The 23,329-nt window shown below is 63.7% G+C and overlaps 2 protein-coding genes and 1 long non-coding RNA gene across 6 annotated transcripts in view, besides 10 other annotated features; 1 reads left to right on the forward strand and 2 right to left on the reverse strand.

Moving 5' to 3' along the window:
* The window catches only part of MICALL2 (MICAL like 2), a 25,112-nt gene extending 21,303 nt beyond the window's left edge, over positions 1-3,809 (reverse strand). For all 3 annotated transcript variants that reach the window (XR_002956487.2, NM_182924.4, XM_047420836.1), the window contains exon 1: positions 3,523-3,809. Coding sequence is in view for 2 of the 3 variants with exons in the window: in NM_182924.4 (NP_891554.1) it covers positions 3,523-3,665 (143 nt within the window). In the remaining variant the exon portion in view is untranslated. The remainder of the gene's footprint in view (positions 1-3,522) is intronic.
* Positions 1,763-2,485: an enhancer, noted in NCBI's record as "H3K4me1 hESC enhancer chr7:1497060-1497782 (GRCh37/hg19 assembly coordinates)". NCBI's record gives its function as "activates a minimal SCP1, AML or CMV promoter by ChIP-STARR-seq in naive H9 embryonic stem cells {active_cell/tissue: H9 hESC(naive)}" and the evidence as "EXISTENCE:reporter gene assay evidence [ECO:0000049][PMID:30033119]".
* Positions 2,486-3,208: an enhancer, noted in NCBI's record as "H3K4me1 hESC enhancer chr7:1497783-1498505 (GRCh37/hg19 assembly coordinates)". NCBI's record gives its function as "activates a minimal SCP1, AML or CMV promoter by ChIP-STARR-seq in primed H9 embryonic stem cells {active_cell/tissue: H9 hESC(primed)}" and the evidence as "EXISTENCE:reporter gene assay evidence [ECO:0000049][PMID:30033119]".
* Positions 3,582-4,301: a silencer, noted in NCBI's record as "silent region_17852". NCBI's record gives its function as "represses an Ori minimal core promoter by ATAC-STARR-seq in GM12878 lymphoblastoid cells {active_cell/tissue: GM12878}" and the evidence as "EXISTENCE:reporter gene assay evidence [ECO:0000049][PMID:35858748]".
* On the forward strand, positions 4,258-8,925 carry MICALL2-DT (MICALL2 divergent transcript). Its single transcript, XR_001745046.2, has 2 exons — positions 4,258-4,606; positions 8,181-8,925. It is a non-coding gene; the product is annotated as an MICALL2 divergent transcript (long non-coding RNA).
* Positions 4,632-5,183: an enhancer, noted in NCBI's record as "H3K4me1 hESC enhancer chr7:1499929-1500480 (GRCh37/hg19 assembly coordinates)". NCBI's record gives its function as "activates a minimal SCP1, AML or CMV promoter by ChIP-STARR-seq in naive and primed H9 embryonic stem cells {active_cell/tissue: H9 hESC(naive and primed)}" and the evidence as "EXISTENCE:reporter gene assay evidence [ECO:0000049][PMID:30033119]".
* Positions 5,184-5,735: an enhancer, noted in NCBI's record as "H3K4me1 hESC enhancer chr7:1500481-1501032 (GRCh37/hg19 assembly coordinates)". NCBI's record gives its function as "activates a minimal SCP1, AML or CMV promoter by ChIP-STARR-seq in naive and primed H9 embryonic stem cells {active_cell/tissue: H9 hESC(naive and primed)}" and the evidence as "EXISTENCE:reporter gene assay evidence [ECO:0000049][PMID:30033119]".
* Positions 5,272-5,566: an enhancer, noted in NCBI's record as "tiled region #1985; K562 Activating DNase unmatched - State 1:Tss, and HepG2 Activating DNase matched - State 1:Tss". NCBI's record gives its function as "activates a minimal TATA promoter and a strong SV40 promoter by Sharpr-MPRA in K562 cells, with weaker activity in HepG2 cells {active_cell/tissue: K562 | HepG2}" and the evidence as "EXISTENCE:reporter gene assay evidence [ECO:0000049][PMID:27701403]".
* Positions 9,994-10,689: an enhancer, noted in NCBI's record as "H3K4me1 hESC enhancer chr7:1505291-1505986 (GRCh37/hg19 assembly coordinates)". NCBI's record gives its function as "activates a minimal SCP1, AML or CMV promoter by ChIP-STARR-seq in primed H9 embryonic stem cells {active_cell/tissue: H9 hESC(primed)}" and the evidence as "EXISTENCE:reporter gene assay evidence [ECO:0000049][PMID:30033119]".
* Positions 10,690-11,385: an enhancer, noted in NCBI's record as "H3K27ac-H3K4me1 hESC enhancer chr7:1505987-1506682 (GRCh37/hg19 assembly coordinates)". NCBI's record gives its function as "activates a minimal SCP1, AML or CMV promoter by ChIP-STARR-seq in primed H9 embryonic stem cells {active_cell/tissue: H9 hESC(primed)}" and the evidence as "EXISTENCE:reporter gene assay evidence [ECO:0000049][PMID:30033119]".
* Positions 14,170-14,865: an enhancer, noted in NCBI's record as "H3K27ac-H3K4me1 hESC enhancer chr7:1509467-1510162 (GRCh37/hg19 assembly coordinates)". NCBI's record gives its function as "activates a minimal SCP1, AML or CMV promoter by ChIP-STARR-seq in primed H9 embryonic stem cells {active_cell/tissue: H9 hESC(primed)}" and the evidence as "EXISTENCE:reporter gene assay evidence [ECO:0000049][PMID:30033119]".
* INTS1 (integrator complex subunit 1) overlaps positions 14,616-23,329 on the reverse strand; it is a 34,113-nt gene continuing 25,399 nt past the window's right edge. The window contains exons 32-48 of one of the 2 annotated variants that reach the window (NM_001080453.3): positions 23,065-23,224; positions 22,705-22,845; positions 22,092-22,275; positions 21,889-22,012; positions 21,133-21,257; positions 20,909-20,996; positions 20,568-20,794; positions 20,287-20,410; positions 19,044-19,177; positions 18,507-18,699; positions 17,905-18,032; positions 17,411-17,523; positions 16,612-16,725; positions 15,910-15,980; positions 15,472-15,563; positions 15,185-15,294; positions 14,616-15,031 (exon numbers count right to left, since the gene is read on the reverse strand). In NM_001080453.3, the coding sequence (NP_001073922.2) occupies positions 14,916-15,031; positions 15,185-15,294; positions 15,472-15,563; positions 15,910-15,980; positions 16,612-16,725; positions 17,411-17,523; positions 17,905-18,032; positions 18,507-18,699; positions 19,044-19,177; positions 20,287-20,410; positions 20,568-20,794; positions 20,909-20,996; positions 21,133-21,257; positions 21,889-22,012; positions 22,092-22,275; positions 22,705-22,845; positions 23,065-23,224 (2,244 nt within the window). In that variant the 3' untranslated portion in view covers positions 14,616-14,915. Of the gene's footprint in view, positions 15,032-15,184; positions 15,295-15,471; positions 15,564-15,909; positions 15,981-16,581; positions 16,726-17,410; positions 17,524-17,904; positions 18,033-18,506; positions 18,700-19,043; positions 19,178-20,286; positions 20,411-20,567; positions 20,795-20,908; positions 20,997-21,132; positions 21,258-21,888; positions 22,013-22,091; positions 22,276-22,704; positions 22,846-23,064; positions 23,225-23,329 lie in introns of both variants that reach the window. The other variant, XM_011515260.2, reaches the window with a different exon arrangement.
* Positions 18,640-18,839: a silencer, noted in NCBI's record as "silent region_17853". NCBI's record gives its function as "represses an Ori minimal core promoter by ATAC-STARR-seq in GM12878 lymphoblastoid cells {active_cell/tissue: GM12878}" and the evidence as "EXISTENCE:reporter gene assay evidence [ECO:0000049][PMID:35858748]".

Below are 23,329 nucleotides of genomic sequence, written 5' to 3' on the forward strand. Positions count from 1 at the left end.
AGAACCAGGAGCCCGGGTGCCCCACCTGGCTGGCCTGGCGCCCGAGCTGGTTCCTTCACAGCTGCTCTCCCTGAGGGCCAAGCGGAAGTGCTCTCTGCGTGCAGCAGGAAGGACTAAGGCCAGACAAAGGGAAGGACTTCCTGGTGGCAGAGCTACAGACAGGGAGACAGGACGTCCACCCTTCTGCTGTCAAGGGGTCTTCACTGGAAGGAGAGGGGAATGAGGTGGCAAGGGCGGGGCCTCACACAGAGTCTGACCTCAGAGCTGCCCTGAGAGGACAACCGGTCTGTGCCTGTCCCTCACACGCGTTTCCTCCCTTCCTGAAGACTACTGGGGACAGGAGGGACAGCCAAGGGCTGCATGAGGAGACCTCCACCCCAGCCACCACCTCATCCAGAGGTACGGCAGGGAGCAGAGGCTGAGGGCACGGGATGGGGGTGATGAAGGCACAGAGGCAGGCACGTCCAAAGAGCCAGGGGCCAGGCGCGGCGGCTCACATCTGTAATCCCAGCGCTTCGGGAGGCTGAGGCAGGAGGATTACTTGAGGCCAGGAGTTCAAGACCAGCCTGGGCAATATAGCCAGAACCCATCTCAATTTAAAAAAGAAACAATATGCTGAGTGAAAGTAGCCAGACACAGGCCAGACGCAGTGGCTCGCGCCCATAACCCCAGAACTTTGGGAGGCTGAAGAGGGCAGATGGATCACTTGAGGTCAGGAGTTACACACCAGCCTGGCCAACATGGCAAAACCCCGTCTCTAGAAAAAATATGAAAATCGGCTGGGTGTGGGGGTGCACCCCTTTAACCCCAGCTACTTGGGAGGCTGAGGCAGGAGGATCACTTGAACCTGGGAGGCGGAGGTTGCAGTGAGCTGAGATCGCACCACTGCACTCCAGCCTGGGCGACAGAGCTAGACTCTGTCTCAAATAAATAAATAAATAAATAAATAGATAAAATTAAATTAAAAATAAGAAAATTAGCCAGGCATGGTCCCAGCTACTCGGGAGGTTGAGGTGGGAGGATTGCTTGAGTCCAGGTGTTCAAGAATGCAGTGAGCTAAGACGGTGCCACTGCACTCCAGCCTGGGCGACAGAGCGAGACTCCAACTCTGGAATAAAAGCAAAGGGCCCAGGCACCCATACAAGCGCATGTCCCCACACCCTGGTGCACACCCGACCCCCATGACACTCCGGGTTTTCCATCAGCCAGGGTCTACAGAGGCCCCCACGCCCCAACACCCATGGAAGCCTGTACTAGCTTCTTCCTACTGCCGTAACAAATTGCCACAAACTCTGGGGCTTAAAACACCAGGAATTTGTTTTCTCACGGCTCTGGAGGCCGGACTCCGACATCAAGGTGTGGGCTGGGCCTTGCTGCCTAAGGAGGTTCTCGGGGAGGGTCCTTCCTGCCTCTTCCAGCCCAGGACACCCTTGGCTTGTGGCTGCACCTCTCTGATCTCTGCCTCCAAGGGCACATGGCCTTCTCCTCTGTCCTTCTGCACGTGGGCACCTACTAAGCTCCTACCATATCTACTGAACCCCAACTGAAAGGCCCTTATCTGCAGAACTCCAACCATGTGCTGGTATCTACCGAGCCCAGTTCCAGGCACCAGGGGTGCAGCAGTGAACAAAACAGAGCCCCCACCCTCTGGAGCTGACAGTCCAGTGGGGACAGAACCAAGTCAGCCACAGCTTGGGTAACTCCACACCCACCGGAGCTGGGGGCAGAGGGCCTCCTCTCTCTCCCGCCTCCTTCCTGTTCTGGCCTCTGCACTCTCTGGAGCCACCCTGGGCTTTTATTCATTTACCTGTTCCCTGTCTGTCTCTGTGACCGGAACATTGCTCCCTGCATCTGGAGGCTGAGGGGAACTGGCACAGGACTCAGTGCTGGGTACACAGCAGGTACTCAATAACTGTCAGTGCACTGAGGAGATACACAGCGACCACCGTGCCAGTGCATGCACATGCACCTGTGCTCACCCTGGGCACTGCCCACAGGCACGTCTGAGCCGGCAGGGAGTACAGAGAAGCTCCCCAGGACCAGAGGGCCCCAAATCTCCGGCGACACCAGTGATCCATGAAGCTGGTGGCCAGCAGCCGGTGGCAACGCCTCTCCCCACCCCAGAGGCTTTTCGGGCTGGCCCCAGCTTGGATGCCTGGGCTCAGCCACCAGCCAGCCTCATCCAGGACCCTGCAGCCCCGGGGGTGGGGTCTCGCCTGCCTTCCTCCCCATTCCGGGTCCTTCTCCCAGTCTCCAGGTCCCTGGCCCTCTCCTTCAAAGCTCAGCGTCAGGCTTTCCATGTGGAAGCACGCACCTTGTGCCCAGCATCTTCTGCCTGCAAGGGCAACAGAGGCACGTTCCTGGCGAGGGAGAGCGGCTGCTGCCCAAACGCCAAATGGAAGCCCCTGGTGGCTCCACGAATGCATGTCACAACCTCAGAGCAGGGGCCGAGGCTGTTGCTCAAGACCCCAGCTTCCTGCAGAGAGTGGGACTGGCAGGACAGTGTCCAGGGGCACAGGGGAGGAGCCCCGGATCTGCGCAACGGGCTGGGGCTGTGTGACCTGAGCAAGGACCCCTCCTCTTAGCCTCGGTTCTCTGGTCTGCACAGCTGCGGCCTGACAGAGGCCCCAGGTGCTGCCTGTGGCTCCTCCCAACCCCGAGACCTTCCCACCAAAAACACACTCAGGAGAACGCTTTGCCCAGAAGGTGCCTGGGCTGCAGGTGGCCGTTGAGGGCCCCCCTTCCTGAGCGTCTGGCCCCCAGCCCCGACACACAGATCTCTGTCCCAGCAAGCCTGGTCCCAGTCATTTAGCCAAAGAGCGTTTGCTGAGTGAATAAACAATGGAGCAGGTCCAGGCTCGGGCCAAGATTCAGCAACGGGCAGGGCCAGCTGCCCAGCTACACACGCCAAGACCCTCCTGGGGAGAGACAGCCTAGTCCTCAACCCCTGCCACCTCCTGCTGCTCCCAGAGATGGGGGCTGTTCTCCATCTCGGGCCCTATCACCCGGGGCCTCAGAGGCCCGGCTGGCAGCAGCACCTGGGGTCTGGGGGCTTCCTGCCCTGCACTGGCCGCTCCCCCACAGTGGCCCTGGCCACATCCCCCCAGGGGCCTGAACAGGCTGGGGGAGGGTCAGTGCCCATACGAGGGCTATCCAGGGACCCCATCTGGTGGCCAGGCCCCTGGGCAGTGAGAGCCTCGGAGGGCCCAAAGAGGCAGCTCTGCTGGCCTTTCCCAGGGACACAGAGGGGGACTGGACTGAAGCCAGGGCCCAGGAGCCGCCCTGAGTCACGTCTGACTCAGCCGGCGGGCGGGGGATGCCATGGCTCTGGCCCAGCTGCATTCGGTGTCCGGGCACACTGAGGCCACTGAGGACAGCCTCGGGGGGCTGCACGGTGGGCTGTGCCTGCCCAGTCCCACGCCTCGGCTCCCCATCCCCCAGCCGCCCGGGCCTCAGTTTCCCCGCCCGTGTCAGCGCGCAGCCGAACAGCAGAAGAATCAAAGGGCGCCAGGCAGGACTTACATGAGGTCGGGCCGGTGGCGGTGCAGGATGGCGCAGAAAGCCAGGCCGTCGCGGAACGACGTGGTCATGTTGCAGATATTCACGTCGCGGTAGCCCTCGCACTGCTGCCGGCACCACTGTTGCAGCGCCCTGATGGCCGCCATGTGGGCGGCGCGCCCGCCGCGCGGCGGAACCGCCCTCCGACACCTTCCCGCGGCTGTGCCGCGACCGCCCGGCCGGCGGGACAGACGCTGGGACCGCTACGGAACCGCCAGACCCACGGCGCCCAGCCCCAGCTGAGCCGGACTGAGGGCGACGAGTGCCGGGTCCCTAAGAGAAGCCGAGCCCGGCCCCGCCCCCGCCGGCCCCGCCTCCTTGTAGGCCCCGCCCCCAGCCGCCAAGTCCTGCCTCCGGATAGGCCCCGTCCTCACACCTCCCAGCCCCGGCATAGGCTCCCGCCCAGGCAGGCCCCACCTCCCGACAGGCCCCGCCCCCAGCCGCCGGGTCCTGCCTCCTGATAGGCCCCGTTCCCACGCCTCCTGGCCCCGGCACAGGCTCCCGCTCCAGGCAGGCCCCGACTCCGGACAGGCCCCGCCCCCAGCCTCCAGGTTTTGCCTCCCGAGAGGCCCCGCCCCACGCCGCCCGGCCCCAGTACGGGCTCGCGCCCTAGGCACGTCCCGCCTCCTGGTAAGTCCCGCCCCCACGCTGTCAGGTCCCGCCCGACAGGCCCCGCCCCACGCCGCCTGGCCCCTCCCCAGGCCCCGCCCCGCCGCTGAGGGCCGAGACCCCCAACCGGTGAAGGGGCGCGGTCTGCTTGGGGGTCCTGCCATTCTGGACCCCTGCGGAGACCTGGAATTTTCTTTTTCGCCGCCCCACCTCCCACCACCATCTCACCCCACCGCCATGGAGAAGAGGCAGGAAAGGCCGTTGACAAACGGGGACACTGAGGCTCGAACACCCTGCCCTGTCTAGGGCCTCAGCCCTCGGCAGCCCGGCCTCCCGGGGAGCAGGAGGCGCCTTGTGTTTCAGGGTTTCAAAGGACGTCCGCATCTGGTTTCTCTTTCCAGGCCGCTACATGCCAGCGGGGGTTCCAGGCAAGGCAGAGGTGAGGCCTGGGCATTGCCAGAGGAGAAACTGAGGCCAGGAAGGGGGCCGTGGAGCCGGAGTTGCACAGCTGGCCTGTGCTTTTCTTCTGGGGGCCTGTGGGCAGGATCTGTTCCTGGGGCAGGAGATTCCTCAGGCTGACTTGCAGGGTAGTTCCAATTTTCCACTTTGAGCTGTGACAGAAGAAATAAGGAAAGTCCCTCTGCTGGGGCCCTAAATTATCCCAGACTGGCCCCTGGCCCCGTTATCCTTGGGGAACCTTGTCTGTGGCCACGGGGGCTGGACGAGGGCGGAATCACTGACACCAGCCATGTGAGGGGGGCCTACCCTCCTGGCTGTGGGGCCAGGGCTTGTCTGGGCAGGGCCTGCAGGAAGGAAGGTGTTTTCCCGCAGTAGCCCCTGGCAGGGAGTCAGGGCAGCTTCTCTGTGCCCCTTGGGAGGAGGAGAAACTGAGGTCTTCCAACCCCAGCCAATGGTGCTGTTCCAGATCTTTTCTGAGGCTGGTCCCTGGTGAGACACCGTAGTGTTCATGGCCAGCTGCCTAAGTGTCAGTGAGGCCTGTGTGTAGGTGGTGAGCTCCCCGTCACCAGGGGCATGCAAGCAGCTGCTAGGCAGGGAGCCCTTGTGGCCTGGGAATGTGGCTGGCCCTAACCGCTGCTCCGCCACAGTCCCTGACCTGCGGATGTCAGGGGATATCGTGCCAGCACAGCCGGAGCCGGTCCTGGCACCGGGTTTTCTTGACTCCCAGGGCAACGGTTAGGAGAACCGGAAGAGCTGGAAAAGAAGGGAGAGATCAAGAAGCAGAAGCAGCGGGGCAGTGGGCGGGGGGAATTAGTGGGGGATGGGGGACACAGGGGTGGACAGGCGTTAGGGCCCAGCTCCCTTAAAAGGAGTGGTGTGGGAGGTGGCCTGGGTTTCACTTTTATCGTGAACTTTTACCACTGCACACTTAAAAAGCCATCTCACTGGTCACCCCGTGGCCCATCCTGCGCGGCCCCCCTCTGGCACCAGTGAGCTGGGAGGCAGCATTTGTGACGTTTGCCCACCAGCACCTCACACACCATGTCCCTCCAGGGTCCCCGAAGCCAGGAGCCAGGACACCCCCAAACAAATGGTCCTTTCTCCCCACTGCCCACGGCTGCCACCCTCCCATCCAGACGACCTGTCCCCCCGCCTCTGCCCACAGGGCTGCCTCCTGCCCCTCCAGCCACCACAGTCCACCCTCCCCAGCAGCCCGAGGGATCTTTCTAGAAGGCCTGACCAAGCCCTTCCCCTGCCGGGAGCCTCCCAGGCTGTCCTTCGAATAAAGTCCAGGTTGCTTATCAGACTTTCCGCAGGCTTATCACGCTGCATCTCCCCGGCCGCACCCTGCCACGCTGACCCCAGAGCTTTGCGCCCGCACCGGCCCCCAGCACCCGCCCCTCCTCCTCATCCTCCAAGACCCCCACCCTGAAGCCCCTTGGAGCCACCGAAGGCTCCCAGGGTCCCCATCTGTGCTCCCCAGGGCTGCCATGTGGACTCTGCACACGCCTCCCCCGTCCAACACAGAGCCTCCACCCGGGGAACCCGCTGCCTTCTGGCCTCACTGGGAAACTGCCTTCTCTCGGGCTCAGTTTCCTCATCTGCAAAGTGACATCATGGTCCCCTTCCACCAAGGGCTACCCCACGGCCAGGCACGCAGTAAATGCAGCATGATGTACCCACCCAGGCACGCAATAAATGCAGCATGATGTACCCAGGGGTGGGGAACAGGTAAGAGCGGTGTGAGCTCAACAGGCCCCAGGATGGGGACTCAGATGGGGGCCCAGACTTCAGGCCCTTTAGAAATGATGATGACCTCAGCCTGGGACTAACAGAGAGAGAGAAAAAGGGGAGAAAGAGACAGAGAGAGAAAGAGAGGGGAGAAAGAAAGAGGAGAAGAGAGGGAGACAGAAGATAGAGCAAGAACCTCCCTAGGAAGGACCACGAGAACTGAGACCTGGAGGCTAAGCTAAGTAGGAATCACTTTGTTGGAGAGGAAGGGGAAAGGGCAAAGGGAACAGGAGTTGTAAAGGCCCTGCGGCAGGAAGGAAGACTCGAAGATAGGCTGGTGTCGCTGGTGCAGGGGACTGGGAGGAGGTGCAGGGGCTGCGGGAGGAAGGGGTGCAGGCAGCAGGGCCCGGCTAGGCCCCTACTCCAACTTCTCCCACCAATTTCCATGCCTACATTGTCATTTGATACTTACAGCCACCCTTTAAAAGTGGCTCTGGGCCAGGGGTGGTGGCTCATGCCTGTAATTCCAGCATTTTGGGAGGCTGAGTTGAGACGATCACCCAAGGTCAGGAGTTTGAGACCGGCCTGGCCAACATGGTGAAACCCCGTCTCTACTAAAAATACCAAATTAGCCGGGCATGGTGGCACATGCCTGTAGTCCCAGCTACCTGCAAGGCTGAGGCAGGAGAATCGCTTGAATCCGGGAGGTGGAGGTTGCAGTGAGCTGAGATCACACCACTACACTCCAGCCTGGGTGACACAGCAAGACTCTCCCCACCCTGCCGCTCGCCACCCAAAAAAAAAGTGGCTCTGGGCCAGGTGTTGTGGCTCATGCTTGTAGTCCCAGCTACTCAGGAGGCTGAGGCGGGAGATCACATGAGAACAGAAGGCTGCAGTGAGCTGTGATCACACCAGTGCACTCCAGACTGGGTGACAGAGACATTAATGTGTGTGTGTGTACACATACATATATGGGTGTGGGTTGGCTGTGGGTTTAAAACCCAAGATTGGCTGGGTGCAGGGGATCATGCCAGTCATCCCAACACTTTGGGAGGCTGAAGTGGGAGGTTTGCTTGAGGCTAGGAGTTCAAGACCAGCCTGGAAAACATAGCAAGACCCCACCTCTACAAAAAATACAAAAATGTTAGTCGAGTGTGGTGGTGTACACCTGTACTCCCACCTATCCAGGAGGCTGAGGCAGGAGGATTGATGGAGGCTGAGAGGTCGAGCCTGCAATGAGCTGTGATCATGTCACTGCACGCCAGCCCGGGTGACAAAACAAGACCCTGTTTATGATCTACAAAATAAATGGCTCTATTGATTCTGCACCTCAAAAAACTGAGGTTCTGAGAGGAAAGGAGGAGACTGGAGGGAGGGGAGGAGACAGGAGGGGAGGAGGGAGGGGAGAAGGCCCCCCGTTTCAGCCTGCCCTCTCAGGCAGCGGCCCTGACTCTGACACCAGGTGAGGCCCGGGAGAAGGTCGGCCCAGCTGGTGTCCTACCCAAGTGTACACCCTGGTCCAGGACAGGACTTCCAGGCCAGATGACCTGTTTCCCCACTTCCAGCCTCCACGTGTTCTGAACCCCTCAAAGATGATGGAGGCAGGGAGAAAGGGGTCTCTCAGCCCATCAGGGTGGCAGGGCCCGTGCTGGGGACCCAGGGAGGACATGGCCTGAGGCATCGCTCATTTCAGTCCAAAACATCCACCTTGGCTTGCATTAGCTTAGCTCCTGGGTCCCCAAGAGGCGCTGCAGAGGTGGGGACCCAGGTGCCACACCCGGAGGGGTGGGGCAGGCTTATGAGGGGTTGACTCCTTCCACCAGTGGATTCAACCCTGAACGTCACCTGACCAAGGCTGCTGGGCCAAGCTGGAACAGAATCGGATCCTTGAGTCTGGGAGGCGGAGGCGGTTCGGGAATGCAGAGGGCGTGAGAGAGAACCAAGGGAGGTGTCCTGGCCGAGTGGTGTTTCCCGCGGGACTTCTCAGAGCCTTCATCACCTGATACGCACCTCCACTCTTCCAGGGAGAGGACACACTGCACAGTGGTTCCCAAACTGACTTGCCCACAGGACCCCTGTGGACGGTTGTGGGGCACCACGTCAGCCCCCCTGCAGAGCGTGGAAGGGACGTTGCCCTCCCCACCCCCAAGGCTGCCATCAACCAATGCCATCCCTACTGCCCCCGGCAGGACAGGGAGCTGGAAGCTGTGACACCCCATTTTAAGGGGCCACCCATTAATTAATTAGGCTCCATGAATAATGCATGCCACCTTGGGTATATTAATAGCATATTTATATGGTGTGCTATGGGGAGTATACATTCTCGTCTGAACACCTCACAAATAATTCACGACACCGCTCCTTCCCCAGCCTCCAGGAGATCCTGGCCGGTGCTGCGGCTGGGGCTGGTGGGCTGCTTCCCACAGCCAAATTTTACATTTCATTATAAATGGCTTTGCTAGGCATGTCGGTAACTCGTGCATTTCCATCCACTTTATTATTAATGGCTTTGCTGAACTGTAGCAGCCCAACGCCGCGCACAGTGCGTTATAAATATTTGATCCGGCATCTATGGTCTGCCATTTATCATTTATAACGGGTTACAAAAACATTATAAAACATTTACTGCACATTTATAGATCATTTTCGACTACCACCAAAATGTGTTATAAATACATTATTAATCCTCTCCACGCCATTTATAGGAATCCCTTGTAACGGGGTCCAGACCCACCCCGCCCTCCCCCCCCCCCCCACCTTCAAGGAGCACAGAGTTTGCAAGGGGGCTGACAGGTGTCGCCGGGTGGCGGGACCGGGGCAGAGAAGCCAGCCTGCCTCTGATTGCTGTGTGTCCTTGGCCAGATCATGGCACCTCTCTGTTCAGAGGAGAAAGAGAACAGTGCAGATGCCTGGCCCTCAGCACCTACTGTGTGTCACACAGGTTGTTCACTGCCCCCAAGTCTCAGGCAGTTTTTTGTTTTTTATTTTTTTGAGACGGAGTCTCACTCTGTCGCTGAGGCTGGAGTGCAGTGGCGTGATCTTGGCTCATCGCAACCTCTGCCTCCCGGGTTTCAAAGGATTCTCCTGCCTCAGCCTCCCAAGTAGCTGGGATTATAGGCATGCACCACCACACCCAGCTGATTTTTGTATTTTTAGTAGAGACGGGGTTTCACTATGTTGGCCAGGCTGGTCTCAAACTCCTGACCTCAGCTGATCCACCCGCCTCGGTCTCCCAAAGTGCTGGGATTACAGGTGTGAGCCACCGCACCCAGCCTTGTTTTTATTTTCTGAGATGAAGTCTTGCTCTCACCCAGGCTGAAGCGCAGTGGTGCTATCTCAGTGATCTCGGCTCACTGCAGCCTCCGCCTCTCGGGTTCAAGTGATTCTCCCACCTCAGCATCCGAGTAGCTGGGATTACAGGCGCGCACCACCATGCCCAGTGCATTTTTAGTAGAGACGGGGTTTTGCCATGTTGGCCAGGCTGGTCTCGAACTCCTGACTTCAGCTGATCTGCCCACCTCGGCCTCCCAAAGTGCTGGGATTACAGGCGTGAGCCACCGCACCCGGCCTCAGGCATTACCTTGATGCCCACTTCACAGGTGAGGAATCAAGCTCAGAAAAGGGCAGCGATTTGTCCAAGGCCAGTGGGGAGCAGGCGTTAGAACCCTGGGGTCGGTCCTGCCTCGTGTCACCCACCTGCCCAGGCCTGCAGCCACAGGCTATGGCCCCCGCTGACAGGACTCTGGATGGGGCCCCCGGGGTCCTGGCTGGAATGCTGACTAGGGATGAAGGAGGCCTAAAGGGTGTTTGGGATCCAGCAGCCCCTCCACCGTATCCCAGCTCTGGAGGCCCCTGGGCCCTGTGTCCCCAAGGACTCTATGTTCCCCGGAGCTGGGGCGCCAGCAGTAGCCTGGTGTGCAGAGCACTGTGGTCAGCACCGCCCTCACCAGGCCCCTGCGTTTTCCATCTTAGGGAGGGCGCATGGCTGCCTCCTGGCTCCCTCCCCTCCCAGGGCCCGTCTCCCTACTATAGGATGAGTGCCCGAGGAGCCCTCTGTGTGTCAGGCCTGTCCCCTGTGCCCCCCGAGGCTTGCAGGCTCCTACAGGCCTGGCTTCACAGCAGGAGGACACCAGTGGGAAAAGAGGGCGCCGGACCCTTCCCTCCGCCTGCCCTGCTGGTGGTCAGCCAGAGCCCTGTGCCCCGCTACAAGTGGATGGGCCCAACTCCTCCCCACCGCTCAAGACCCAGCCCGCCATGCCACCTTCCCTCAACAGCCCTTCCTAACTTCCACAGAGAGGGTGCCCACCACACCCTGGCGGAGGCCTACTGGGGTCCAACCCTGAGTCCCCCGTGAGCCCAGCAGGGCCCGCCATGGGGTGTCCTTTTGGGCCTGGCCCAGTGAGGGGGTTTGGAAAGAACTGGGACGTCCAGTTCTGCCTGCCCATGCTCAGCTTCCTACAGGCCACTTCCCAGGACAGAGGGGCTGCTGTCCCCAGAGGAGGCTTCAGCCATACCCTTCTCTTCAGAAGCACCTGGAATGACCCCAACCGCTGGCTGGGCCTGGGCCTAATTGGGTCAGGGGTCTGGGTTGCTCTGAGGAAGGGAGCTGGGGGAGGCCCAGGCCCCCCAAGCAGCTCCTGCCCTGCACCCTACCTGCCACATGACCTCGGGCCACTGTCTGGGCTTCCCGGGGTGAATGGGGGAGACACCTCATGGGGAGACCTGCACTCCTGCTGCCGAGGGCGCTCAGGCCCCAGGTGCCCACACTCAGCCTGTGGCTGCCACCGTCTGGCCTGTTTGAAGGTCAGGGTCCATCCCCAGCCAGAGCTGAAAATGAAACCCAGAAGCACTTGTTTTGAGACTGAAGCAGCAAGTGAGCTTGTCACTATGGCATCCCCCGGCCCCGCCCCGTCCCCGCCTGGAGAAGGCAGCCCGGGACTGCCGGGAACCACTGGGAGGGGCTGGGACCCTGCCTGGCCTGGCTCAGACATACTCCTGGGCCTCCCTCCACTCCTGAAAGGAAGGGAACTGTGGAGTCTGGGCTGGACCCTCTGAGTCCTGGGCTCTAGTGGTCACCCTGGGCGAGGGGCTCACAGCCACAGCCACACAGGAAGGTGCTGATCCCAGATCCTCCACTGTTCCAGAACAGACGGCCCGGGACCTGCCAGCAGCCACCCAGTGGCACAGGGGTCCTGCTGGGTGCCCCACACGGCTGGTTCCCAGGGTCCCTGGGCCCAGTGGCCGTGGTGAGGAACTTGGGGAGCCGGAGGGAGGGAGAGGCCAGGCGTGGATCGTGGCCTGACCCAGGGCTCCCTGGTCCATTTCGCAGCCCCCTGTCCAACCTGGGGTCGGCACCGTCATTCCAACACCCACACTTCTGCTCACACCGGCCCCTGCCAGGTGCCCGCCGCAGGCACAGATTCCAGTCTACCCATTTCTCTGTCCAGGCGCAGTCAAGTTTCCCTCTCAGGCGTCTTCCCCATCTTTCCCAGCACAGATCGCAGAGGCCTCTCACCTCTGGGACACAGAACCTGGGGTCCACCCCGGCAGCCAAGGCCAGACATGCCCCCTGGGGCTCCCCTTATGGTGGGGACAGGCCTGGGACACCCTCTAGAGGTTATGGAAGCCCTTGGCCAGGTAGAGGCTAAGTTTGCCCCACGGGTGCCACAATTGTCAGCCCTAAGGCCCTGGGCCAGGCAGAGACTGTTTGCCCCACGGGTGTCGTAATTGTGAGCCACCAAGGCCCCGGGCCCTGGGATCATCACCCTGGGGTGGGTGGGTGGGGTCTCAGGCACGCCTGGCACATCCTGGCCCCAATTGGCACACACACCAGAGCCGATACCCCTCACCTGAGCCCTTGCCACCCGCCAGGCCAGCTACTTCCCCCGGATGCCTCTGCTTAGCTTAACCTCTGCTGCCTCCTGGGCGGGAGTGAACACAGGCCCAGGCAGCAAGAGGCCCAGAGGGTCCCAGGCCCCAGGATCAGGGCCCTGCCCTCAGCACCCTCCCCATCCTCCTTCCCCATGCCTGGTCCACGACCCCAGCCAACGTCCTGGGGCTCTACCTGTCACAGGCTGCTCTGAGCCAGATACACGCACCCCCATGAAGGGCCCAGGCTTGCACCCAGCTGGGACACACGGACTGGCCTCCGGGCCTGGCAGCAGTGTCCTTCCCTTTCCCTGTCCTCAACCCAGGCACTGGATTCTGGGCCCACAGAGCTCGGACCTCCCTCCCTCCCTGATCAGACCCTGAGGCGGGCAGGCCTCGGCTGGAAGGACCCCCACCCCGCAGCCTGGCTGGAGTGATGTCAGGAGAGCAGAGGACCAGAGGCTGGCGAGGCTGCAGCAGGCTCCGGACTGTGGGGTGTGGAAAGCCAACCTGGAGGAGGTTCCCCAGGAGCCCACAGAGGGTGTAACATCGGGTAAGGGTGGCTCCTGGCTGGAGGGGACGCGGCGACACAGCTGGGGTGTTGCACCTGGGGAGAAGGGTCGGGATCCCGAAGGTGTGGACTGGCAAAGGCCCCACATCCAGGCCCGGGAGAGGCAGCCTGGCCCTCAGGAGGCTGGGGTTTGGGTGTGGGGCATACAGCAGGCACTGGGGCCGGAGGGCTTGGTGGGCCCGTGCTCACTCGGTCTCAGATGAGATCGGGTCATGTCCCCGCCAAGCCCTAGCACGCTTCTGTCCTCTAAGACTCGGATGGACACGGGCCCTGACGTTGATCCCTGAGCCGGCACAGCCTGCACACACCCACCCCGTATGAGGATGCCTCCCTGCATCCACGCCCCACCCCTGGGGGCTGGGGAGGCATCCACATCCCTGCCCTGCATCTGCTGAGCCTCCAGGGCCCTTTCCCACTGCACAAACCTTGGGCCCTGCTTCCACTCAGCCCAGCCCCACCCTGGGGCAGCCCATGGCTCCAGGGCCCCAGGGCTCAAATCTCGGCCCTGCCCCTTATCCGCGCAGAGGTAGGAGAGCCAACCACAGAGCAGGAAGGGCCTCACCCCACACCCCGGCCTGTTAGGCCTCCTCACTGCTGTCCCTGTCCCTAACCCTAACACACATTCAGACCCAGGGCAGAGGTGCCCGCACCAAGGGCCTGAAGGCAACGCACTAAGGGCAAGGGTGGGGGAGGGCGGCCGCGCACAGCTGGGATGGAGGCGGCTCAGCGGCCCATGGGCCTCCAAGTCACTCCCAGAGCAGCCTCCCAGTCCCCCGGAGCCACAGGAGCCAGCTGTGGACAGGCACGCCTGGTGACAGACCCGGCACTGGCTCACCCCACCCGGGACCTGGTCCCCGGCCCTGTGCAGCCTGGAAGAATCCGAGGGTGGGCAGGCGGGTGCAGGAGTGCCCAGGGGCCCGGGCAGGTGGTGCAGGTGTGCAGGCCAGGGGCTGGGCTGGGAGGCTGTGGGCCTGGAGCCCAGCTGCCCCCTTGCTGGGTGCTGTTGCGGGGCATCCCCCAAGGCCACAGCATCACTAGAACCTTGAGGCCTCGCGCCACCTGGGCTTGCAGGAGGGCCTGGGTCAGCTTCTTAGCCACAGCGGCTGGGGTGGAGGGCAGCCGGGGCCTGGCTGACCTGGGAGCACTCATGGGGAACCGGGAGAGCACGGGTCCCATCTGTGTGCTGGAAAGACCCCGGTGCAGCGAGGACAGAGGGGTGGGCGGCTCTAACCCCAACCTGGCTGGGAGGGAGGAGAGTGCACTGCGGGCCAGCAAACAGGGCCCCATGCCAAGCTCCGCCCCGCATGCACTAGGACCCTCCCAGACCCTCCCCTGGGAGCTGGTGCCTGCAAAGGCAGGACGAGCAGCACCACCGGCTACTCGGACTCTTCTGGAATGGGACCCCAACTCAGCTCCCACAGAGGGACGCCCACAGTTGAGGCTCTCAGGGCCTTGTTGATCCTTTTAGTGCAGGAGAGAGAGACCAGTCAGCTGGGCCAGTCCCCCACGCAGCCTGACAAGGCCGGACTCACTCAACAGAGGCCGACCCCGTGGGCAGAGGACTTGAGGCCCGGCAGGGCCCAGGGCCGGCACTCGACAGGGAGACCATGACGTGGGGCGGGGGCGGCCAAGTGGGCAGCATCCCCCGACCCTCAACACCTGCGGGAACTGCTGGCCCAAGGGAGAGCCCAGCCTGGCCCTGGTCTCCACCACCCCGGACCCTGCTCAACTCCCTGCACTGTGGGGCTGGGAAGCCAAGGCCAGGGTCCTTGAGGCTCTCACTGGCCAGAGGGCGACATGGGACACCAGAGAGCACACAGACAGTTCAGGTCGTTTCATTCAAAACCAGCCCAGGCCATGCCCGGGGGGATCCGCCGCTCCGCGGCAGGGCTGTGGCCCAGAAGGTGAATGAGGGCTTGCTGGACGGCCCCTGATGCCAGCGGCCGGCCCGGAGCCACCCCAGGGCTCGGAGTATTGCTCCTGGGCCTGCCTGGCCTCAGGGCTCGGCGCCCTCACCTCCTCGGACAGACCAGCAACGCCCACGCTTCCTGGGCTTTGCCTCGAGGATCCCCGGGGACGGGACGGGCCGGGGCTTGGAGGGGGGTCGGCTGCCACAGGCTCACATCACGGCCTCCATATGCAGGATCCTCAGGGCCTCGGAGATCTGCGCGCTGGGGTCCATCTGGCCGTACATGCCCACCAGGAAGGCCCGGTGGAGCAGCACAGCCGCGTGCTCTGTGGGGGAAACGGGGCCCTGCACGTCACGCTGGCCACAACATCCTGGCCGCAGTGACCAGACCTCGGGACTCCCAAGAGCCAGCCCTCGGGGGACGCACCTCCGGCCTCCCCGAGGGCTGCCAGGGCCCTGGGCGGGGGGCCAGTCCTCACCTTGGCACAGGAGAGCGTACTCAGGCAGGTTCCGGAGGGCCGTCTGCACCACCTCAAAGTCCTGGCTGCCCAGGCAGTACATGAACGTGGGCAGGAAAGCGGCTGCAATGCTGAAAGACCCACACACTTCAGTGGGAACCTCCACCCTGTGCCCACGCCAGACCCCCACCCGACAGGGCGAGCTGAGCCGCCTGGAAGCCTGGTCTGGCCACCAGGCGGGTCAAGCGGTGACCTGGGTTAGCAGGGCCCAGCGGTGGCGGCGGGACAGAGGCCGGCGGTGGCCTCACCTGGGGCTGTTCTGCATGGAGCGCAGGGCCAGGCTGAAGGCGAGGTTGCGGCAACACTCCTCGGCCGAGCTCATCAGCCGCTGCAGGTTGGTCTGACCGGGGGAAAGGTGGGAGGTGTGTGACCAAGGGGTCCAGCCCCCATCAAGGCCCCTTCACCTCTTGGTCTCGTGATGGTTGGCGGCAACGGCAGGGACCCTAGGCCCCTATCCAGAAGGCAGGACGCACGTGCCACTGGCCGGTCCCAGCCCGGGGCTGAAGGCAGGCCTGCTCTGGCGGCGGCTTGACTGTGAACACCTGGGCTGGGGCCCCCACCCGAAGCCCAGCCTCAGAGGACTCCCTGGGGCTCAGCGCGGGCACGCCATGTTGGGGTGGTGGCCCTGCTGGGGTTCCCCAAGGGAGTGGCTCCTCCCAGCTCTCCCTCAGCCCCATCCAGCTCACCGAGAAGAAGCTCAGGATCTCGGGTCTCCGCCGGGACATCTCGTCTATGTCACTCAGAACCTCCAGCAGATCTGACACAGAGAGAGGGCCAGACCAGAACTGAAGGGCCCAGGCAGACCTCTGCCCACCCCACCCCAGCCACCCAGAGGGGGCAAGGCCCCGAGCACCACAGGACAGAAAGCACTGGAAAGCATGAGCCCAGTGACGCCCCAGGCAGTCACCTGCCCCCAAGCTCCACAAATACCCGGCCCTGCCCCTACTAGTGGCCTCCAAGGAGAGGGGTTGACCCCTCACGGCAGCCCCATATCCAGGGTGCTCTTAGCACCAAGTGTCCCCACGGCCCGACTCCATCCGGGCCGCTCAGCCTTGGCTGTCCTCTGACAGCGGCCACCGGTACTGCCCACCCGCTGGTCTTGCCCACCCGCCTGACCTCTTCCTGCTGTACCCCCACCACCTTAGGGGGCTCCCCTGCTTTTTGCTGTGCCTGAAGCAGAGCAGCCACCTCCAGCTCCCCTGGGCCCCTGAGTTTCTAAGGCCCTCTCTGGGGGTGCTCCCCACTGTGAGGAACAGCCCACCCACCCACAGCCCAGCGTGGGCCAGGCTCACGCCAAAGTCAGTGCCCAAATGGCTACTGGCTGCTGCCCGCAGCCCCATGGGACCCAGGGCGCTGACCTGGCGTGGGTGAAGCAGGGCCTGACTCACCCTCCACCGTTTGGCCCCGGGAAAGCCGTTTCATGTAGGGGGCCATCTCGGCCGCGGTCAGAGGGGTGAACAGGGAGACGCTGACCAGGGGCAAGGAGCCGGCTGAGCTCTCCTCTGGAAGACAGTGGCAGTGCTGCAGGAGGGCGGGAGCGGCAGGACGTGCCACACTGAGGCACCAGGACCTGCCCTCCCGAGAGCACGGCGGCCACTGCCCAGGCTCCCAAGGTGCCTGCACACAGCAGCGCTCCACAAATGGGGTGGAGCCAGGAGCCGGGAGCTGCCTTTGGATCCGGCGCATGCACCTCTGCGAGTCTCTCCCTGCTGGGTTTCTCGCAATGTGGGCCAGGACCCACTGGGCACAAGACGGGATGGCCCCTTGGGACCCGGGCCTGGCGCTCTTCCGGCGGCACAGGAGAGACGTGCTGCGGTGCCGTGTCACCTCAGGCAGGGAAAAACCAAGGACAAGCCTTGCCCAGTAGGACCAGGGGAGGCTTCCTGGGGAGGGACACCTCGGACAAGCACTGGTGGATGGTGGATGTGCCAGGGACGGGGGGGTGGGGAGGGCCATTTGCCGGGGCGGGGCGATGTGCCGGGGGGCAGGTGTGCTGATGCTCTGTCAGGCACCAGTCAGTGCTTCGTCCCCTTGAGGTGGGTCAGGGGCCAGCCAGCAAGGTCCCAGGCTCACACAGCCCCCATCGGGACGCCTCGGACGGCCCAGGGCTGGCTGTGCGCTGGGAAAACCAGGCCCTGTAGGACTGTTCCGCAGCTGCTTCCAGCAGCCCCTGGCAGCCCCACTCACCCTCGCCCTCTTCGTCCAGGCCTCGGTCGGTCCTGTCGTCCCTGCTGGGCAGGCTGAGCCCTGCAAGGAGGGATTTCAGCATCACCAGGTCACTGTTGTCGAAGGACAGGTCGCTGGGGAGAGAAGATGCTTTCACCTGGGAGGAAGACGCTGGCAGGAGGAAGGCTGGGTCAGGGGTCAAACTAGGGTGGCATGGGAGCGTGTGGACACAGGCATGCAGGAGAGGCCAGGACGCTCAGAGGGAGGGCCGGGCGGGGAAGCCACATGTGCGTGGAACGGGACAGAGAGCCAGAGAGCTGCAGGGGTGGGTTCAGACGGCTTCGGCACAGGGTGGGGCGGCCTCTGCGCCCTGGGATGAGCACCACGCTCAGCAGCCCTCCCCGGCCTCAGGAGCAGCATATCTGACACGACACGGCCTTCCCAGGAACACCCTCCAGACCCCGCTGGACCCTCGCCGGAGGCCCGAGGCTTCCCTGCAGCCCGTGGGCACTCACTGGAGCGGGTCGGCGTGCTTCTGCAGGAAGGAGATGGCTGCTGGGGCATTGTAGGTAATGTACTTATGGATGAACTGCACAAACTTGTTGATGAAGGCAGCCAGATGGCGGGAGGACTTCCTGTAATTCTGCAAAGCAAAAGCGGCACCCTCGAGCTGCTCTGCCCCGCAGGGCCAAAACAGAGCCTGTGCTCCCATCTGCTCCCAGAGCCTCAGGGCATGGACCCCACAGCCAACGAGCCCCCTCTGCCAACCACTGGGGCGTCACAGGCCCAAGGGTGGCCGGCATGGCCTGTCAGGGTGTGGACATGGCTGTCTGGGGCATGTGCCCAGATGGATGAGGGGCTCGAGGTAGCACAAGCGACACGCAGAGAACAGCACGGAGGGTCTGGGCTGGGCTTCTGAAGGACGTGGGCCCCCCAGGCACGTGAGGGGCAGCAGGCAGGGGCTTCCCAGGGTGGGAGCTGGTCCCCAGGGCAGGTGGCCTGGCCTGGGCCCTGGCTGCAGAGGTCCTCCCAGTCCCTCCGCGAGTGGGTGAGGCAGGCCTGGGCCAGAGCAGAGGGAGTGGAAGGGAGCGCGAGGGCGGGCGGCGGGAGCACACACCAGCAGCAGGCGGATGAAGGACAGAAGGCAGTCCCACAGCGCCCCCTGGTGCTCGCTGCGGAACACGTGCGGCTGCAGCAGCTCCAGCAGGCCCAGCACGTGCAGGAAGCAGCTCAGGTGGTTCTGCTGCCGGAACTCCTGGAAGTTGAGGTGGGTGCGGCCGTGCAGGAGCGCCGCGATCATGGGCAGGTGCCTGCGGGCGCGGTGAGGGCCCAGTCAGCCCCGGCCGGCGGGCTCACCTGGCGCACGTCCCCAGGAAGGCCCCACTGCCTGCCCCGGGAGCCAGACCCCGTGCTGCCCCCCAACCACCCTCCTGCCCTAAGGAGGTGGGGATGAGATCGCCCCTCTCTGAGGCCCACCCAGCTCCTCCCACCTGAGGCCCAGCTCAGTCCTGACTTCCCCCGGTCAAGCTCAGCCCATGGGAACATGCTTTTTTTTGTTGTTTTTGGAGTTTTGCTCTTGTTGCCCAGGCTGGAGAGCCGCAGACCCCCCTGGTTAAACCAGTGTCTGGCGAGGGCAGGGCTTCTGGGACAGCACCTGAGCAGCAGCAGCGGGTGCGCCACCGCCAGCTTCCGGCAGGCCATGCTGGCATCCGCCCCTCGGTTCTCCAACGCCCGGGAGTCGCTGGTGTCCGCAAGGAGCGTGATGAAGCGGTGGATGAGTCCGTCCAGCTGCAGGGAGGGGCGCTCTGAGGCCGGGGCCGCTGGCTCCCCTCACTTGCCCACCCACACTCAGCCTGGCCGCCAGCTGTGGCCGTGATCCACCGCGTGGCACGCCATGAGCAGAGGAACTGGCTCCTTACGGCTTCCATGAGCACCTCGGGAGGGCAGGCAGGCCACAGCCAGCCTCTGGGAAAACCCCATACAGAATAAAAGCAAAGCTCCACACCAAATGATACAATGAGCGGGAAACAAGCCAAAACTACACATCGGCCAAGCAGGCGCAGTGGCTCACGCCTGCCATCCCAGCACTCTGTGAGGCCGCGGCAGAAGATCACCAGAGCCCAGGAGTTCAAGACTAGCCTGGGCAATGAAAATAGCCCTCTCTATTTTCAAAAATACAAAAAGAGTAACTGGGTGTGGTGGCACGTGCCTGTGATCCCAGCTACTCGGGAGGCTGAGGTGGGAGGCTCACTTGAGCACAGGGGGTTGAGGCTGCAGTGAGCTATGATGGTACCGCTGCACTCCAGCCTTGGCAACAGACACCCTGCCTCAAAAACCCTCCACAAAACTGCACATCAAGTGTGATTTCAACAAATAAAATGACATATAAGTGAAAAAAACCACAAGCAGAAATGATTAGAGAAAGTCAGCTGCCCTCTGTGGTACCAGCAGAAGACAGGCTGCAGGTTCCGGCCTGCGGTGGGGAAGCGGGTACGGGAGGCCCAGCTCTCCCCACCAGGGTCACTGGAGAGGAGCAGACGCAGCCGTCCGCCAAGACCCGGGCACGAGTCCCCAGCAGCTGTCACTGCCCCAAACTGAACGTGACCCCACGTCCACCAGCAGGTGAACAGATAAACCAACGGCCGATCCACACAATGGCAGGCCACCCAGTGCCCACAACACCACGACTCTCCAGACTGTGCGAGCAGAGCACCCGCAAGCTCCCTCGGTATAAAACTCAACGCAGACAAACCCACAGGGCCACAGGGCGGCGCGGACTGGGAAGGGGCAAGAGGGGTAGCCGGCGATGGCCATGTACACTGTGGCCTCCGCCCTCCCTCCCTGCCCGGCCAGGGCACCTGGGACGGCGGCGGGGAGCGGCAGAGTTGCGCCCTCACCTTGCAGACGCTGCTGCTGGCAGCCCCTTCGCTGTGCAGTAGGACCTCAGGCACGGGCACCCGCAGCTCCGGCCGCTGTAGGTAGAGCTGCAGGAGAAGGTCTCGGCAGCGCCTGCCCAGCACGCTGGAAGAGGTGGAGCAGGGCTCACCAGGCGGACGGGGCCCCAGTGACAGGGGTGGGTGGACGGGACCAGGCGTGATGGGAACCCACCCAGGGCTGGGCCTCGACCCCCTCCATGGCTCACTCCCAGGCAGCATCTGGGGCCGGGGGGCCTGAGCACCTGTCTCCCCACTGCTGGATGCAGCCTGACAGGTGCTCCGTCACCTTCCTGACACTCTCATCGTCCCCACAGCAGCAGCTGAGCAGCAGGGGCAGCCGGGCCTGGATGAGGCTGCAGGCGGCTGTGTCCCCGTCCTGGCTCCGCGTCTCCGCCTCGGCCAGGATCAGCTCCACCAGGCTGATGAGCTCCGGGCCCTGGACCCGCAGCACCAGCTCCTCCCGCCGCTTCTGTAACGGGTGCCTGCATCAGCCCCGGAGCACCACCGCCTCTCCCGGATGGGCCACCCCCTCTCCCGGATGGGCCACCCCCTCTCCCGGATGGGCCACCCTCCCAAGACCTGCCTGCGGGGTGCGCTGGTCCCGCCCCTGCCAGATGCGAGGAACATGGATGCAGGCCCAGAGGAAGTCCAGAGAGGCAGAGGGGTCGAACCTGTGGGGAGGCAAAGGTTCCAGAGCACGAGGTGTCTCGTCTCAGCATGGGAGATACCAGTCAGAGCCGGCGCTGGGAGATTTCTGGTGAAGGCCAGTATGCGCGCAGCCCAGGTTGGGGACAGGGAGGCGCCCACCTCTGTTCCCGGCTCTTGCCCAGCAGGACTCGGATGCACTGGTGCAGTGTGGGCCAGCTGGACTGATGCGTGAAGAGGGTCAGGAGGTAGGGACGGAACGAGGGCACCTGGGCCTGACCTTTGCCCTGGGGAGGGAGGAAGAAGCCCGGATGGCCTCACCTGGGCCAATGGCAGGCTCTGCTGAAGTCAGCTGACAGCTTCCCCAATGAGCCACTCAGAGAGCCGAGGCTTGGGGTGCTGCCGGTAACACCGGCCCCGTCATGGTGCTGGAGGGCCGCTCCTGGTGGCTGCGCTGCATCTCCCCGCCCCTTCCCACGGGAGCCATGCCACACAGCGGAGGTGCCCGGGGCTCCATGCAGCCTCTCTGGTGAGGCCGTCCCTCCCTGGAGGATGTGGGGAGCCCAGCACCTGCCCTCCCTTCTCCTGGCCACAGCCCCATTCCCTTTGGGAAGATGGAGGCCCCTACATGATCTACAGGGTTTGGCAGGGCCGACCCCACCCCATCCACCCACCCCATCCCCACATCTGGCTGGTCACAGTGCTGGTCCACAGGTGACTGTGACCCTGGCCTGGGTTCTGCTAGGGCCATTGGGGGACCTACCCTTCCTCTGGGTTGCTACAGGGACACATGGCCTGAGAGCAGGGGGGGTGCTGGGGCCCCTGCAAGGCTCGCCCAGGCCAAGGCTGCTGCACTTCAGGTCAGGAAGAGCCTTTACCCTGGGGTGGGTCCCCGTGCTGAAGCTGGGTGCCACCCACCTTCCTCCGGGAGAAGAGCAGCCTGAGCTGCAGGTCGGGGCAGCTGCTGACCACCTCGGGGTCCAGCATTTCCAGCCAGTCCACTAGGAGGCCTGACGAGGGCCCCAGCCGCACGGCCTCCAGGCTGCAGGGAGAAGGTGGCTCAGGGAAGGGCTGGTGCCACCCGCCTGCCCACCCTGGCCGTGTGCAGCACCCCAGCTCACCTGCCACCGTCCGCACCCGGCTTCCCCCCAGCCAGGGGCTCCTCCTCCTGCAGCAGCAGGGAGCTCACCACCACAACGGGCTTACAGGCTGGAAACGGGGAGGCAGCATCCGCAGTGGCAGAGAAGAATGCAGTCAGCAGCTCCTCCAGGTGGGGGGACCTCACCTCGATCAGCCCCTGGAGGACTGCGCAAGGGACAAAGAGACATGTGGGTCACTCCCAGGTCGGGTGGGGGCCGCTGAGTGGGTGTGGGCTAGCCAGGGTGGGGTGTGGGGTGAGCATGTGTGGGACACAAGAGCAGAGTCCAGCCGGAGCCAGAGAGGAGAGTGCAGCCGGGGCCGGAGAGGAGAGTGCGGCCGGGGCTGGAGAGTGCGGCCGGGGCCGGGGCTCACTTTGCTGGGTGCAGCAGTGATCAGGGGCCCCCCAAGGAGGAAGCTCCAACTCATTCTCAAGAGGCCCCGCCCTGAGCCATCTGGGAGGGGACCTCTGTGGGCACTTTCCGGGGACAGTGCTGAGCAGACACTGTCCGTCCCCCACTGGGCAGCTAGAAGGAGCCTCAGGTTTGGGTCTTCCCAGGGCCGCCGTGGCCCAAGAGGATGGTGCCAGGAAGGTACCTTTGCTGATCAGGTCCGGCTCCACGCTGCACTGCTCCCCAGACCTCAGGGTGGCGATGACGGCACGGACGGTGGAGCTGACCACCTCCAGGTCCTGACGGAAGGCCAGGGCCTCGGCCAGGCGCAGGAGCCCCCCTCGCACTGTGGGAGGTCTGTGTGAGTGCCCTGTGGCTCCAGCCCTCACCCCATCGGTGTATCCCATCCAGGGAGGCCCCACGGTAGAAGGGCTCCCCTGGGCCCACGCGGGTACCCACCCCCCAAGCCACTGCCCAGGCCTCGGGGTGCCAGGCAGCTTGGCCACTCTGAGTGAGCCCCTGTCCAGTGCCCCCCAGCCGTCTGCCAGCCCGGCGCGGTCCTCACCATCACTGAGCCTGCGCCCGGCTGAGGCCTGGCTGGCAAGCATCCTGAGCTGTGCCCGCAGGGGCCCGCCCTCCACGCCAGGGCTGTCCAGCCACTGCAGCATCTGCAGGAGCACCTTCAGGAAGAGCGAGGAGAAGCCGGTGTCCTGTGGCACACAGCGCTGCGGGGACAAAGTGGCACGTGGCTACCCTGGCAGAGGACACACGGGGACCCGGCACCCGAGGCCCAGAGCAGGGCCCGTGAGGCTGCTGAGACCTGCCGCGAC

The sequence above is a fragment of the Homo sapiens genome, chromosome 7, assembly GCF_000001405.40.
Source record: "Homo sapiens chromosome 7, GRCh38.p14 Primary Assembly".
Taxonomy (NCBI): Eukaryota; Metazoa; Chordata; class Mammalia; order Primates; family Hominidae; genus Homo; species Homo sapiens.